The sequence below is a fragment of the Homo sapiens genome, chromosome 2, assembly GCF_000001405.40.
Source record: "Homo sapiens chromosome 2, GRCh38.p14 Primary Assembly".
NCBI lineage: Eukaryota > Metazoa > Chordata > Mammalia > Primates > Hominidae > Homo > Homo sapiens.
The window spans coordinates 115,799,708-115,817,188 of NC_000002.12; the positions used below are offsets into that span (position 1 = coordinate 115,799,708).

At 38.2% G+C, this 17,481-nt stretch overlaps 1 protein-coding gene across 24 annotated transcripts in view; it reads left to right on the forward strand.

Moving 5' to 3' along the window:
* The window catches only part of DPP10 (dipeptidyl peptidase like 10), a 1,403,140-nt gene that overhangs the window by 1,357,067 nt on the left and 28,592 nt on the right, over nt 1-17,481 (forward strand). For all 24 annotated transcript variants that reach the window (NM_001321910.3, NM_001399849.1, NM_020868.6 and 21 more), the window contains 2 exon segments: nt 15,086-15,280; nt 15,968-16,022. In NM_001321910.3, the coding sequence (NP_001308839.2) occupies nt 15,086-15,280; nt 15,968-16,022 (250 nt within the window).

Genomic DNA, 17,481 nt, shown 5'->3' on the forward strand with positions numbered 1-17,481 from the left:
GTTTGCTGAGAATGATGGTTTCCAGCTTCATCCATGTCCCTACAAAGGACATGAACTCACCATTTTTTATGGCTGCATAGTATTCCATGGTGTATATGTGCCACATTTTCTTAATCCAGTCTATCGTTGTTGGACATTTAGGTTGGTTCCAAGTCATTGCTATTGTGAATAGTGCCGCTATGAACATACGTGTGCATGTGTCTTTATAGCAGCATGATTTATAATCCTTTGGGTATATACCCAGTAATGGGATGGCTGGGTCAAATGGTATTTCTAGTTCTAGATCCCTGAGGAATCGCCACACCGACTTCCACAATGGTTGAACTAGTTTACAGTCCCACCAACAGTGTAAAAGTGTTCCTATTTCTCCACATCCTCTCCAGCACCTGTTGTTTCCTGACTTTTTAATGATCGCCATTATAACTGGTGTGAGATGGTATCTCATTGTGGTTTTGATTTGCATTGCTCTGATGGCCAGTGATGATGAGCATTTTTTCATGTGTCTTTTGGCTGCATAAATGTCTTTTTTTGAGAAGTGTCTGTTCATGTCCTTCGCCCACTTTTTGATGGGGTTGTTTGTTTTTTTCTTGTAAATTTGTTTGAGTTCATTGTAGATTCTGGATATTAGCCCTTTGTCAGATGAGTAGGTTGCAAAAATTTTCTCCCATTCTGTAGGTTGCCTGTTCACTCTGACAGTAGTTTCTTTTGCTGTGCAGAAACTCTTTAGTTTAATTAGATCACATTTGTCAATTTTGGCTTTTGTTGCCATTGCTTTTGGTATTTTAGACATGAAGTCCTTGCCCATGCCTTTGTCCTGAATGGTGTTGCCTAGGTTTTCTTCTAGGGTTTTTATGGTTTTAGGTCTAACGTTTAAGTCTTTAATCCATCTTGAATTAATTTTTGTATAAGGTGTAAGGGAGGGATCCAGTTTCAGCTTTCTACATATGGCTAGCCAGTTTTCCCAGCATCATTTGTTAAATAGGGAATCCTTTCCCCATTGCTTGTTTTTGTCAGGTTTGTCAAAGATCAGATAGTTGTAGATATACGGCATTATTTCTGAGGCTCTGTTCTGTTCCATTGGTCTATATCTCTGTTTTGGTACGAGTACCATGCTGTTTTGGTTACTGTAGCCTTGTAGTATAGTTTGAAGTCAGGTAGCGTGATGCCTCCAGCTTTGTTCTTTTGGCTTAGGATTGACTTGGCAATGCGGGCTCTTTTTTGGTTCCATATGAACTTTAAAGTAGTTTTTTCCAATTCTGTGAAGAAAGTCATTGGTAGCTTGATGGGAATGGCATTGAATCTATAAATTACCTTGGGCAGTATGGCCATTTTCACGATATTGATTCTTCCTACCCATGAGCATGGAATGTTCTTCCATTTGTTTGTATCCTCTTTTATTTCCTTGAGCAGTGGTTTGTAGTTCTCCTTGAAGAGGTCCTTCACATCCCTTGTAAGTTGGATTCCTAGGTATTTTATTCTCTTTGAAACAATTGTGAATGGGAGTTCACTCATGATTTGGCTCTCTGTTTGTCTGTTATTGGTGTATAGGAAGGCTTGTGATTTTTGTACATTGATTTTGTATGCTGAGACTTTGCTGAAGTTGCTTATCAGCTTAAGGAGATTTTGGCCTGAGACGATGGGGTTTTCTAAATATATAATCATGTCATCTGCAAACAGGGACAATTTGACTTCCTCTTTTCCTAATTGAATACCCTTTATTCCTTTGTCGTGCCTGATTGCCCTGGCCAGAACTTCCAACACTATGTTGAATGGGAGTGGTGAGAGAACATACCTGTCTTGTGCCAGTTTTCAAAGGGAATACTTCCAGTTTTTGCCCATTCAGAATGATATTGGCTGTGGGTTTGTCATAAATAGCTCTTATTATTTGAGATACGTCTCATCTATACCTAGTTTATTAAGAGTTTTTAGCATGAAGCGCTAGTGAATTTTGTCAAAGGCCTTCTCTGCATCTATTGAGATAATAATGTGATTTTTATCTTTGGTTCTGTTTATATGCTGGATTACGTTTATTGATTTTCGTATGTTGAACCAGCCTTGCATCCCAGGGATGAAGCCCACTTGATCATGGTGGATAAGCTTTTTGATGTGCTGCTGGATTCGGTTTGCCAGTATTTTATTGAGGATTTTTGCATCAATGTTCTTCAAGGATATTGGTCTAAAATTCTCTTTTTTTGTAGTGTCTCTGCTCGGCTTTGGTATCAGGATGATGCTGGCCTCATAAAATGAGTTAGGGAGGATTCCCTCTTTTTCTATTGATTGGAATAGTTTCAGAAGGAATGGTACCAGCTCCTCCTTGTACCTCTGGTAGAATTCGGCTGTGAATCCATCTGGTCCTGGACTTTTTTTGGTTGGTAAGCTATTAATTATTGCTCCAATTTCGGAGCCTGTTATTGGTCTATTCAGAGATTCAACTTCTTCCTGGTTTAGTCTTGGGATAGTGTATGTGTCGAGGAATTTATCCATTTCTTCTAGATTTTCTATTTTATTTGCATAGAGGTGTTTATAGTATTCTCTGACGGTAGTTTGTATTTCTGTGGGATCAGTGGTGATATCCCCTTTGTCATTTTTTATTGTGTCTATTTGATTCTTCTCTCTTTTCTTCATTAGTCTTCCTAGCGGTCTATCAATTTTGTTGATCTTTTCAAAAAACCAGCTTCTGGATTCATTAATTTTTTGAAGGGTTTTTTGTGTCTCTATTTCTTTCAGTTCTGCTCTGATCTTAGTTATTTCTTGCCTTCTGCTAGCTTTTGAATGTGTTTGCTCTTGCTTTTCTAGTTCTTTTAATTGTGATGTTAGGGTGTCAATTTTAGATCTTTCCTGCTTTCTGTTGTGGGCATTTAGTGCTATAAATTTCCCTCTACACACTGCTTTGAATGTGTCCCAGAGATTCTGGTATATTGTGTCTTTGTTCTCATTGGTTTCAAGGAACATCTTTATTTCTGCCTTCATTTCGTTATGTACCCAGTAGTCATTCAGGAGCAGGTTGTTTAGTTTCCATGTAGTTGAGCGGTTTTGAGTGAGTTTCTTAATCCTGAGTTCTAGTTTGATTGCACTGTGGTCTGAGAGATAGTTTGTTATAATTTCTGTTCTGTTACATTTGCTGAAGAGTGCTTTACTTCCAACTATGTGGTCAATTTTGGAATAGGTGTGGTGTGGTGCTGAAAAGAATGTATATTCTGTTGATTTGGGGTGGAGAGTTCTGTAGATGTCTATTAGGTCTGCTTGGTGCAGAGCTGAGTTCAATTTCTGGATATCCTTGTTAACTTTCTGTCTCATTGATCTGTCTAATGTTGATAGTGGGCTGTTAAAGTGTCCCATTATTATTGTGTGGGATTCTAAGTCTCTTTGTAGGTCACTAAGGACTTGCTTTATGAATCTGGGTGCTCCTGTATTGGGTGTATATATATTTAGGATAGTTAGTTCTTCTTGTTGAATTGATCCCTTTACTATTATGTAATTTCCTTCTTTGTCTCTGTTGATCTTTGTTGGTTTAAAGTCTGTTTCATCTGAGACTAGGATTGCAACCCCTGTCTTTTTTTGTTTTCCATTTTCTTGGTAGATCTTCCTCCATCCCTTTATTTTGAGCCTATGTGTGTCTCTGCACGTGAGATGGGTTTTCTGAATACAGCACACTGATGGTTCTTGACTCTTTATCCAATTTGACAGTCTGTGCCTTTTAATTGGAGCATTTAGCCCATTGACATTTAAGGTTAGTATTGTTATGTGTGAATTTGATCCTGTCATTATGATGTTAGCTGGTTATTTTGCTCATTAGTTGATGCAGTTTCTTCCTAGTCTTCATGGTCTTTACAATTTGGCATGTTTTTGCAGTGGCTGGTACCGGTTGTTCCTTTCCATGTTTAGTGCTTCCTTCAGGAGCTCTTTTAGGGCAGGCCTGGTGGTGACAAAATCTCTCAGCATTTGCTTGTCTGTAAAGTGTTTTTTTCTCCTTCACGTATGAAGCTCAGTTTGGCTGGATATGAAATTCTGGGTTGAAAATGCTTTTCTTTAAGAATGTTAAATATTGGCCCCCACTATCTTCTGGCTTCTAGAGTTTCTGCCGAGAGATCCGCTGTTAGTCTGACAGGCTTCCCTTTGTGGGTAACCCGACCTTTCTCTCTGGCTGCCCTTAACATTTTTTCCTTCATTTCAACTTTGGTGAATCTGACAATTATGTGTCTTGGAGTTGCTCTTCTCGAGCAGTATCTTTGTGGCATTCTCTGTATTTCCTGAATCTGAATATTGGCCTTCCTTGCTAGATTGGGGAAGTTCTCCTGGATAATATCCTGCAGAGTGTTTTCCAACTTGGTTCCATTCTCCCCGTCACTTTCAGGTACACCAATCAGACGTAGATTTGGTCTTTTCACATAGTCCCATATTTCTTGGAGGCTTTGTTCATTTCTTTTTATTCTTTTTTCTCTAAACTTCTCTTCATGCTTCATTTCATTCATTTCGTCTTCTATCGCTGATACCCTTTCTTCCAGTTGATCGCATCGGTTACTGAGGCTTGTGCATTCGTCACGTAGTTCTCGTGCCTTGGTTTTCAGCTCCAACAGGTCCTTTAAGGACTTCTCTGCACTGGTTATTCTAGTTATCCTTTCATCTAATATTTTTTCAAAGTTTTTAACTTCTTTGCCACGGGTTCGAACTTCCTCCTTTAGCTCGGAGTAGTTTGATCTTCTGAACCCTTCCTCTCTCAACTTGTCAAAGTCATTCTCCATGCAGCTTCGTTCCGTTGCTGGTGAGGAACTGCGTTCCTTTGGAGGAGGAGAGGCGCTCTGGTTTTTAGAGTTTCTGGTTTTTCTGCTCTGTTTTTTCCCCATCTTTGTGGTTTTATCTACCTTTGTTCCTTGATGATGGTGATGTACAGATGGGTTTTTGGTGTGGATGTCCTTTCTGTTTGTTAGTTTTCCTTCTAACAGTCAGGACCCTCAGCTGCAGGTCTGTCGGAGTTTACTGGAGGTCCACTCCAGACCCTGTTTGCCTGGGTATCAGCAGTGGTGGCTGCAGAACAGTGGATACTGGTGAACCGCAAATGCTGCTGCCTGATTGTTCCTCTGGAAGTTTTGTCTCACAGGAGTACCCGGCTATGTGAGGTGTCAGTCTGCCCCTTCTGGGGAGTGCCTCCCAGTTAGGCTACTCGGGGGTCAGGGACCCACTTGAGGAGGCAGTCTGCCTGTTCTCAGATCTCAAGCTGCATGCTGGGAAAACTACTACTCTCTTCAAAGCTGTCAGACAGGGACATTTAAGTCTGCAGAGGTTATTGCTGTCTTTTGTTTGTCTGTGCCCTGCCCCCAGAGGTGGAGCCTACAGAGGCAGGCAGGCCTCCTTGAGCTGTGGTGGGCTCCACCCAGTTGGAGCTTCTGGGCTGCTTTGTTTATCTACTCAAGCCTCAGCAATGGCAGGCGCCCCTCCCCCAGCCTCACTGCCACCTTGCAGTTTGATCTCAGACTGCTGTGCTAGCAATCAGCGAGGCTCGGTGGGCTTAGGACCCTCCCAGCCAGGTGTGGGGTATAATCTCCTGGTGCACCGTTTGTGAAGCCTGTTGGAAAAGCAAAGTATTAGGGTGGGAGTGACCCGATTTTCCAGGTGCCATCTGTCACCCCTTTCTTTGACTAGGAAAGGGAATTCCCTGACCCCTTGCGCTTCCCGGGTGAGGCGATGCCTCGCCCTGCTTTGGCTCACACAGGGTGCGCTGTACCCACTGTCCTGCACCCACTGTCTGGCACTCCCCAGTGAGATGAACCCAGTACCTCAGCTGGAAATGCAGAAATCACCCGTCTTCTGCGTGGCTCAGGCAGGGAGCTGTAGACTGGAGCTGTTCCTATTCGGCCATCTTGGCTCCCATTTTTTTTTTTTTTTTGAGACGCAGTCTCACTCCTGTCGCCCAGGCTGGAGTGCAGTGGTGCAATCTTGGCTCACTGCAACCTCTGCCTCCTGGGTTCAAGCTATTCTCCTGCTTCAGCCTCCCGAGTAGCTAGGATTACAGGTGCCCGTCACCACACCTGGCTAATTTTTGTACTTTTAGTGGAGATGGGCTTTTGCCACGTTGGCCTGACTGGTCTCAAACTCCTGACCTCAGGTGGTCCGCCTGCATTGGCCTCCCAAAGTGCTGGGATTACAGGTGTGAGCCGCCGCGCCCGGCACTTCCTGTGCTTTCATAAGAACTTGTACTCTCACCGCATTATGATTACAACAGGGCAGATATTCTAATCCCCGTTTTTGCAGGTGAGAACCCTTGAGGGACAGAACTGATGAGCAATATGCCTCATGTTGGACAACTACTAAGAAGTGAAAACTCAGCAACAATGTGCCATACAAGCTTTTATTACTTTTCCCTAAGAAAAAATTCTAGGGATAAAGGAATTTAAAATACGTGGTGTAAATTCAGAAAAAGACCCATAATTAGAGCTTAATAAATAAAAGAGATTTTTTAACACCTTAAATTTATAATCTTATTCTGGCTAAGAATTCCAATTTCCTTTTGCCTTGAGGATATAATTGCTTATATGCCAAAGGTATAAGTGAATATTTTGTTGAGGTCAACTTTTATAATTGTGTTCTCTCAAAAAACTGGTGTTATTTGTCTATCTATGGTTTATAATTTCTTTACCGCTATATGTCGGTTTACTAAGTTGCAAGATGGTTCTGCCACTGCCTGCTTATACTTAGTACTATAATCATTATTATTCCTATTTAACTGATGCAAAAACTCAGCTAAGGTGTAAAATTCCCTATGTTTATATAACCACACTTTCCAGTTGATAAATGGATTTTTAGAATGCAGGTAAAGGATTATATAGTTAGAAAACCAGTATTGTATCACCACCATACATTACTGAAGGTGTCATGATGCCCTACCAAGGATGAAATACAGGTTGAAAGTTAGTAATAATTAGCATCCATTCCTGTATTATCAACCCATTGCACACATATGTATCCTTCGATATGTAGCCTATATGTATTGTCAGCCTCAGTACGTACTCACTACATTCCCATGCTGAATTGCCCTCTCCTTGAAAAAATACAGAAATTTAAGTTTGTTGTGGAGATTGTCACCTGCTTCTTTTTTAAAGATACACACACTTTGTTCTATTTTTTATCTAAATTGCCCCCCCACCCCCAGTTCCTGAAGCAAGCATGTAGAATATTTTCCATGATCATATCCAAAGTGGACCTGCTGCATAGGAGAGTCACATTGCAGTTATGTGCACGTGAAAACTGAGATAAATTCTCCTGTCTTTGGTGTGTTTATAAAATGTGCTAAGCTTTCTTTTAACCATGAATAATTTAGGTATGACCCTTTCTAAGTGCAAGAGAATAGATCAAATGCTATCCTAGCTCTGTGATGATATAGCTATTCCCAGCAACTGAAAGAAAAGATCATCAAAGCCTCTTACCTTTCTACTTACTCACTCACACTGTTAGAAATTATCTCAAATGAAAATTGGCCAAAGGATAAGAATTAATGTACTAAGACTTTGACAGCAAATATCATTAGGAGATTGTACATTCCTTCTATTTTATTGAACAATTTCTGGCTAGGAGATGTCCCTGAGGTCCTTTTCTATTGGTTGTATTCTTATATTTTCATGTGCTGTCCAAGATGTTTATCCTGAGGTTAATTTTGTGTGGATAATGCTAACAGTCCATTTCTGAGTTTTAGAGCTGGCTCATTAATATCTATGCTGTTCAGTGTTTCAACTTGTGTAACAATAAGGCTTTCAGTTTTTGGATTTGTACTACAGTACGCGTAACTGCAGTTAAACAACTGGACTCTGTTTTTTCTTCATTACTCTCATGATGGTCATTATGCAGTTTTTGCATCAGGCTAAGGAGACAATCTCTGGCTTTCATTCAAGATAAAGAGCAAAATAGTATCAAATTCCCTTCAAGACAAGGAAGAGTGCCTTTGGCCGATAATAGTTCATCATGACATAAGGAAAACTATTTCATTAAAAATAGAAGAGAGAAAAAAGGGACAAGTAGGAGGAAGGCTAGGGGAGAGATCCAAAAAAAGATTCAATTTTATTAATGCAAAATACCCAAACTTGGAGATCAAGAAAAAAAAAAACATTAAAACATCAAATATATGTTTGGGTTTTTTTTAATTCTTTAAAAACACGAAAAATTCTGATTGAGGAAAAACATTAAATGCATTTTTCAGGTTTATCTGAAGTCACAGATAACAATGTTAATGAACAGACCCACATATGAATAAGTGAAAAGACTTAAGAATGTTTTCTTTAAAATCAAACTATAACTGAGTTCAGAGGCACTCTGGATTTTAGCAATTTAAAAGCAATCACTGCTACTAATCTAACTATGAAGAAGCTCGTAAGATACCTTTAACATATGGATAATAAAATTGCAAAAGTGCCAGACACGTGTTCGAGAGATACACGCTGAGCAGCATATACGTGTGCGAAAGGCACAATATTTCTTTTCCATTTGTATGGCCGTGTAACTATAATTCAAGCCAGCGAAGATTTATTTATGTGACATAAAGACTACTAGAATAATAAAGAGATTTTTAAATTATGTGTATTTGTGCAAATAGACTAGAGGTCAAGAATACTTCGATGACATAAAACCACCTTCCCTGAGAAACGATGTTCTTGAATGAGAGTGCAGGAATTATTGATGCAGAGTTGCATAGAGATAGTCAGATTTGGGTGGCTCAGCTTCTACAAGAGGAATGGAAGGTGTAAGGTCAAGTCCCAAAGTGTTGTCCAGAACTAGGTTAATAATATTGAACACCTATACCAAGGACCAGGCACTTTACGCAGCTACATATAGAATCTCATTTAATCCCTGCCATAACTCTACTGGGTAGATGCTATTATCACCCTCTATACCAAATTAAAAGCAAACGTAGGCATAAGTGTCTAAAGCCACTGGACCTGGGCTCAACTCAGTTTGATTTGATCCCCATATCACCTGTACCTTTTCACAGTGACATGCTTACTTCTTTATAAAGTCTAGGTCATGAATGCAGGCAACCTTTCTGAAGGTTTGACAATGGACAAAGTCTGAGAATAAAAATAGATGAGTACAAGTGATTTGGAGGTTAGTACAATTTGAGAATTTAATTTATGAACAGAATTTTTTATACATTATCAGGTAGCCTTCATCATAATCACCGCCAGAAAGAAAAATCTTAGAACTAGGAGATAGGGTCTTGGTAGCGGCATGAACAACCTTGATCGAATCAACTGCTTTCCTGGTTATGACTTATAAAAAAAGGAATTCAACCAAAAGCTACACTGTAAATAAACTAGGGTGAGGAATTTGAAGATTATCTTAACAATATCCCTAATGGAAGAAGATGGGAATGTGGACAAGAAACAGTTCTCTGGTAGGAAAAAAATAATGTAATTCCTTACATGATGAAGTAAATACAGTGTATGAGAAAATTCATTCAGCCATTCTTCATGTAGGAAAATCCATCTATGAGAAGAAATTTAAAAATAATAAAGAGATAAATAGAAGGAATTGGCCCAAGAGGCCCTTAGCCAATATGTGGATCTATGTGTACATACTGCTTGAAAGAGGGCAAACTTCATTATACTTTAGATACACATATGCTGCAACTAAATCATCATGGATTATAAATCTCTATAAAGTAAATTTTTAATTAAACCAAGGCAAATATTGTTTAAAGCTGCTATCCTATGTTAATCTCATATTCTACCTGAAATGAATTGTCATGAAGAATAAAATGGAAGCATAGATAGTTGATTATGCTTCAGAATATAAGGTAATATTGTTCTTTGCATATTGTTTCCTTTTCCTTACCTTGATTTTTATTCTGTTCTTTACTCCTCCTTTCACATTCTTTTTAAATTCATAATACCTACAATTAAATTGCAACCCTTGGTTCTCAAGGATTCTAGCTTTCAAACAGGTACTCGTGCAACTGAGCGAACCTGTTGTAGGCCTAGAAAGAGCAATGAACTGAGATGACTATAAAGCAGTTCTCTCTATGTCCCCTCTTTCCACTGCCCCAGTGGACACAGGTAAGCAGCTGACAAATTCTGCCATGCTTTCAACTGGTCGTCAGAAGTCCTCTCGTTAGAATAATATTCTTCCTTCCATTTATTATAACTAAAGCTTTACTGATAAGGATAAGAGCTTTCAAAAATGTACTTTTAATGGGGTGCGGTGGCTCACGCCTGTAATCCCAGCACTTTGGGAGGCCGAGGCAGGCGGATCACGAGGTCAGGAGATCGAGACCATCCTGGCTAACATGGTGAAACCTCATCTCTACTAAAAATACAAAAAATTAGCCAGGCATGGTGGCGGGAGCCTGTAGTCCCAGCTACTTGGGAGGCTGAGGCAGGAGAATTGCTGAACCCGGGAGGCGGATCTGGCAGTGAGCCGAGATCGCACCACTGCACTCCAGCCTGGGCGACAGAGCGAGACTCCATCTCGAAAAAAAAAAAAAAGTACTGCCCTGATAATTTGTGATCTTAACTATTTACCACCAAATATTACTTAACAATGAAAACAATAAATAAAAATAAAAAAACCAATTAATTCCTCAAGGTACCTCAGCAGATTGGTAATGAAATCAAGGACTAAAACCTTAGTCTTCTGTATATAAATTCAACCCTCTTTTTAGAATTTAATTGAAACACTTTGTGAACCCGATCAAACATGTAGTTTGAACAAATCTCTATACTTTAATCCAGTTTTGGTATAAATGATGTTTTTTATGTCATAAAGAGGTGACTTGTTCTGTCATTTAAAAAATCTATTGAGTATTGTTTGTTTTATTCCATTTTTTCTATATTTTATTATATTGTGAACTCATCCATACAGACACATTCAGTGTTGAAGGTATTGAAAGAGATGAGGATTCTGCCCTCAAAGACCTTAACTTCTAAGAAAAGTTTGCAGTCTTAATTTGATTCTGCTACTTGTGTTAGGAAATAGACAAGTGTCATATTGCTATGACCTTTTCACTGCTTAAAACAGATGGAATTGTTCTTTTCACCGCAACTTTCAACAAAGTTGTATGTCCCCACTCTCAACCTTGAAACACCCTTCTTACTGTGAATCCCCAAAGATTTCTGAGACAGAGATAAAAAAGCAAAATTGTGTAGAAGGCAAATGAGGGAGACACTCAGAAAGAAACAAAAATAACTAAATCAATTGGAGCTCAGCAATCTTGCACAGCCAATACACACATGAGTCGTGGTACCCATTTATTATAAGATAGATGATTTGTCTTTAGTACATTCTGTGTGGTTATCCCTAGCACCAAATGTTTTGCTATTCCTATTTTACTGAATAAGCACTCTTTGCTTAGCTTTATTTATAAGTCTAGTATTTTCTGCTCAACACTTTGTGAACAAGTAATGTCCCTCATTTTCCTGCACATGCCTGATTTGTTCCTTATAATGCCAATGATTAGCATCATAATCCATGTTCTTTTAAGTGTATGTTGAAATAGATATGCCTATATTGTGCACCAAAGAAAAAGAAACAACACCCAATTAGATCACAGAAATGGGTTCAAAAATCTTTGGTTCATAATGAATTGATACCACTTCGTGATCTAACATTTAAACCTTGGAAAGACTAGGTTAAAGTTTAAAATGGCAATTAAGAGAAGAGAGCAAAAGAGTGAAATTGTAGTTTTCTTCTATGAGTGTAGCAATAATGAGTAAAGGATTGAAGGATTTGTTTTAAAAAACCTGTTGCCATTTACTAATTGTGAGTTTGAAAACTGTGCCTTATTTTAAACTCTATCTTAAAATAATTTACTTGCCTGCCATAAAATGTCTGACTTATTTACATTTTAACTAAACATATCTTAGCTGGGAACTTCTGAAATCGCTGTGAACAAGGCAATGTGTCATACGTAGATTGGAAAGTTATATCTTTTAAATAAACAAAACATCTTATGTTGCCTTAGCACTGCTGCCAGAGTTTATAAAGGTGAACAATCCTGCCTTAAAAGTTAAGGACACTCTGGTGATCACTCCAAGGGTCTGTTGATTGCACTTTTTTTATATCCTTGTAAGGCTTTAGATTTCATTGGTCCATCTAGAAAATGGGATTACCTCTGACATAAGAGCTCATATTACATAGCAATTATGCTTTATCCATAGATATTGTGCATTTAATTACTGTACAACTAGCCGAAATTCTTTATATAGTTCTCCATTTTTAAGTGTAACTCAAAGAAATATGCTCAACATAAGCAAAATTTTCTTCAAGTAAAAGAATAAAAAACAGTTGTTATTGTCCTATAAATCTAATCATGGTTTTGTTCATTATACTTCATAAAGTATTTTCAAATGCCTTATGCCATTAATGCTTACAAAATGTCTTTGAGGAAAATATGGTAGTATTGGCCATCATTATAGACACAGACTGAGTCCTAGTGTTTCAGTTATTTTTGCCTATGTTGGTAGTAAAGTTGAGATTCAACCTTGGTATTTTTACTCAGCTTAGTATTCAAAGGTGAAGTTAATCTTTGGTACCTGTTCTCTGTGAATCAAAATATTTGCAATAAATCCACAAGCTTCAAAATGCAGTATCTTTATGTAAACTCAAGTCTTTTTAAGGCCTTTCCATTTTAAACTTCATCTATTTTCCCTGAAGAAGGTCTACTTCAACAAGCATTGGCTGTGTCCTATGCATACTAGAAATTATGCTAGGCATGATTCGTGCTAGTTCTCAAATGTTAAACAAGCTGTATCAGGATCAACTGGGCAACTGAAACAAACAAACAAACAAACAAACAAAAAACAGCAATTCCAGGCTTACTTCTGAATGAAGACATCAGACTTCTAGGTTACAGCATGGGGATATGGGTAGTAATAAATTTCAAATGATCTGATCAAGAGCCAAGGTTGCATAAATTAAAATACATTTAAAAAGAAAATATAAAAGAAAAGAGAAAATATCTAGGTGGCAAACACTGTGGAAAGACAAGGCATATTTTGATTTGAATCACTGAAAATCACATTAAATGAGTGATTTAGAAAAGAATGGAGGAGAGTTGTGATTCATTAATTTCTATGGCACAGTTTATTTACGGTGTTTCTTTATTTATAATACATCTCATAATCCACATAATAGAAAACTTACTCCCAAAAAGATTTACTAAACTTTGGAAATATGGAGTACATGACATAATGGATCTTAAGTGCTTAGACCACAGAAGGCATTTATATTAGTTTGCTAGGACCACCATAACTAAATATCTCTGACTGGATATCTTTTTTTTTTTTTTTTTTTTTTTTTTTTTGAGACGGAGTCTCGCTCTGTCGCCCAGGCCGGACTGCGGACTGCAGTGGCGCAATCTCGGCTCACTGCAAGCTCCGCTTCCCGGGTTCACGCCATTCTCCTGCCTCAGCCTCCCGAGTAGCTGGGACTACAGGCGCCCGCCACCGCGCCCGGCTAATTTTTTGTATTTTTAGTAGAGACGGGGTTTCACCTTGTTAGCCAGGATGGTCTCGATCTCCTGACCTCATGATCCACCCGCCTCGGCCTGACTGGATATCTTAAACAATGGAAATTAATTTTCTCACAGCGCTGAAGGCTAGAAGTCAAAGATCAATGTGCCAGCAGGATTGGTTATTTCTGAGGGCTCTCCTTGGGTTGCAGACGACCGCCCTCTTTGCGCCTCTTCATATGGTAGTCCCACTGTAACTGTGCACCTCTAGAGTCTTTTGTGTGTGCAAATTTCCTCTTCTTTAATGGGCACCAGTCAGATTGAATTAGGGCCCACCTTTGTGGTTTCATTTTAACTTAGTTACCTTTTTAAAGGACCTATCTCCAAATATAGTCACAATCTAAGCAACTGGGTGTTAGGGATTCAACATATAAATTTTGGAGAACATAATTCAGCCCCTAACAGCTTTTAATAAATTTTAGTTGCTCTGTGTTTTGTCTGATTCTCTACTTACTTCTTTATGTCACTTACAGGATTCCACACAACCCCTGTATCTGCTCAGTTTCATTTGTTGCTGAAAGGTTATTTGCTGTAGGAAATCTGATAACTTGAAAGCTTGTTATTGGAGATGATTTGTGTATTTGGGGCTTCTAGATAAACATTCACATAAAGAGGAAGGCGGGAGAGTTTGGTGTTTTTACCTTGAAGAGTGAGTAGGCTGGGAATTTCTCACAGGTTGCCCAACTAACAATGGAGATCCTTTCAGGGTTGGATGTTTAAATGGTCTGTAAATCTATCACATGCACAACTTCCTATTGGAACTATATCTAGGTATGGACCTAGATATTCTATGTGATTGTTTCAGAGTCTGATTTTTTACTTTTTCTGTATTCTAGAAAATTAACTAATAAATATTTTAAGCTGACATTTTAAAATTGTACCTTCTTTTCCCTGTGGAAAGAACATTCATGCTTTATTATTTATGTGTCTTTCTTTCCTTCTAGCTTTCAAGTTTTTCAAACATATATATCTATGCTTCTTTCTGCTGTCAACTTTAGTGATAAAAAAGAATTTTTCTCACTGCTTGTTTAAATTTTCTTCAGTGAGAATTCCACCACAGAAACAAACAAACAAAACAATTCAGGAAATACTAATGCAGTTTTTTTTTTAAGTTTAACATTATGTATGGTTGTACATTTCCTGTTAAATTATTATCAACTTTTCATAACTGGTTCTGCCCTTCAGCCCTTGGAAGCCATTTGCAAGACATTTCTAAAACACTATGGAAGAAATCCAGTAAAGATAGACTTGTCTACCAACTTGACAGTCATTCTTTAGAAATGCCTTTGGGAGAGTATCATCCATTTTCTTCATTTTTCCCCATTGAGAAATGAGCTAAACTAATTTCTACTGCAATGTTAACTCATACTTTCATTTCATTCAGGGAACTTTTCAATTACAGTTTTACAAAGGAAAATACAATTTTACGAAGGAAAATTGTAATTTTACCTTCAGGTTTATTATCAAGAATTAACAGAAATTTTAATAGCCAGCACAGTTCTTTCCCATTACTTAACTTGTGAGTATGAAAGGTAAAATTTCTACCAGATTTTCAGTTGCTCTTGTTTTGGTCCAATATGTTGGTATTTGCAGGGATGAAGAACCAGGAGGCCAGCTGGTTACAGATAAGTTCCATATTGACTGGGATTCCGTACTCATTGACATGGATAATGTCATTGTAGCAAGATTTGATGGCAGAGGAAGTGGATTCCAGGGTCTGAAAATTTTGCAGGAGATTCATCGAAGATTAGGTTCAGTAGAAGTAAAGGACCAAATAACAGCTGTGAAGTAAGTGGATGCACATTTTTCTTCTCTGTTTTCTATAATGACAGAGTCTTGGTATATGACATATAATATTACTAACCCTGACTCAAGGCTTCTATTTTAGTGATTGAGCAATTTTGTAAGTTAATCATAAAGCCTATTTCATTTTTTTTTTGAAGTACCTGTCACCCTTAGTGCTATAATAAAAGAATTCTCATATTTCCCCTCTGGAATTAAAATTTACTTTGGATTTATGGAAGTTGGATACATTTTAATTATACCACTATATTATTTGTTTACAGGAATCCACAATGTCTGTTGTATCCTCAGTTAATCACAATTCTTGAAGTTTCACAGATACCATTATCACACTGGCATGAATGTGTGACCTAAGAAAGTTAGTGGGTTCTTTATAATAGCACACAGAAACCAGATATGATATTGTTCAAATGTAGATGTTGATTCAGTAGGCCTGGAATGGGGCCCAGGCTTCTGCATTTATAACAAGCTTTCAGGTGATACCAAACTACTAGGCCATCACTTTGAGTAGCAAGATTTTGGAGTATATGACCCTAATACATGAACAGAGCTACAGTTAGTAAAGCATTTCTAGTCATTAGCTATTGTTTTGTATGTATGCATGCCAACTATATATTTATATTTGCATTTAACTCACAAAGATATAACTATTGTTTTTCGTTTTCATTGCAGATTTTTGCTGAAACTGCCTTACATTGACTCCAAAAGATTAAGCATTTTTGGAAAGGTAAATAGTAGAAATGCTGAATCTATCTTTTTATGCGTATCTATGTTATGTAATATCCTATTACACATTCACAGGAGGCCAGTTGGTTACAGATAAGTTCCATATTGACTGGGATTCCATACTTATTAACATGGAAAACCTCACTGTAGCAAGATTTGATGGCAGAGGAAGTGGATTCCAGAGTCTGAAATGTATATATATAATATATGTATATATACATACATATATGTATTATTTGTATGTATACATATGTAATTACATGCTTCATTATATTATAATTCCTCTGTATTATCCTTTAAAAAATAACATAATTAGTATTATATACAGTCAGTCATTTATTAATTCAGTAACTATTTATTGGGCAGTTAGTTGGCACCTGGTGTCAGAAGTAGAACAACAACAGGACAAAATGGGGCTTTGTTTTCATGAAGCTTGTGTTCCAGAGAGGGGAAACAGTAAAGAGGTAAATGAAAAACACAATTTCATATAGTAATAAGCCTCATAAAGAAAACAAAGAAAAACTGATACATAAAAGCTAACTGCAGAAGCGCGGCCAGTGTCATTAGATTGAGTGGTCAATTTAGGACTCTCTGATGAGGTTATATTTAAACCTATACCTAAATAACAAATGGACGCTGGTCAAATAAATCTCTTGAAGCAGAATATTCTCCACAGAAAAAAACTAGCAAGTATCGCAATCTTAGGAAAACAGACACAGGCTTAGAAACTAGGAAATGACCAGTGTGCATAATTACGTCATCTGTGCTCTCTGCACGATATTTACTTATTGCAGTAACTGTTATGTCAGGTTCAACATTATTTTGACAGTGGGAAAATAGACCTCATATAGATATTTATTAGTTTGTTTTTTATTTTTGTTTTTTGTTTTGTTTTTTTTTTTTTTTTGAGACGGAGTCTCACTCTGTTGCCAGGCTGGAGTGCAGTGGCGCGATCTGGGCTCACTGCAACCTCCACCTCCCAGGTTCAAGCGATTCTCCTGCATCAGCCTCCTGAGTAGCTGGGGACTACAAGCACGTGTCACCACGCCCAGCTAATTTTTGTATTTTTAGTAGAGACGGGGTTTCACCATGTTGGCCAGATGGTCTCGATCTCTTGACCTCGTGATCCGCCTGCCTTGGCCTCCCAAAGTGCTGGGATTACAGGTGTGAGCCACCGTGCCCAGCCTATTGAGCTTGTTTTTAACACATCAGTGGACAATGTATTATAAAGGTAAAAAGGCCAGGCGCGGTGGCTCACGCCTGTAATCCCAGCACTTTGGGAGGCCAAGGCGGGAGGATCATGAGGTCAGGAGATAGAGGCCATCTTGGCTAACACGGTGAAACCCCGTCTCTACTAAAACTACTAAAAATTACCCGGGCGTGGTGGCGGGCGCCTGTAGTCCCAGCTACTCGGGAAGCTGAGGCAGGAGAATGGCTGATCCCGGGAGGCAGAGTTTGAA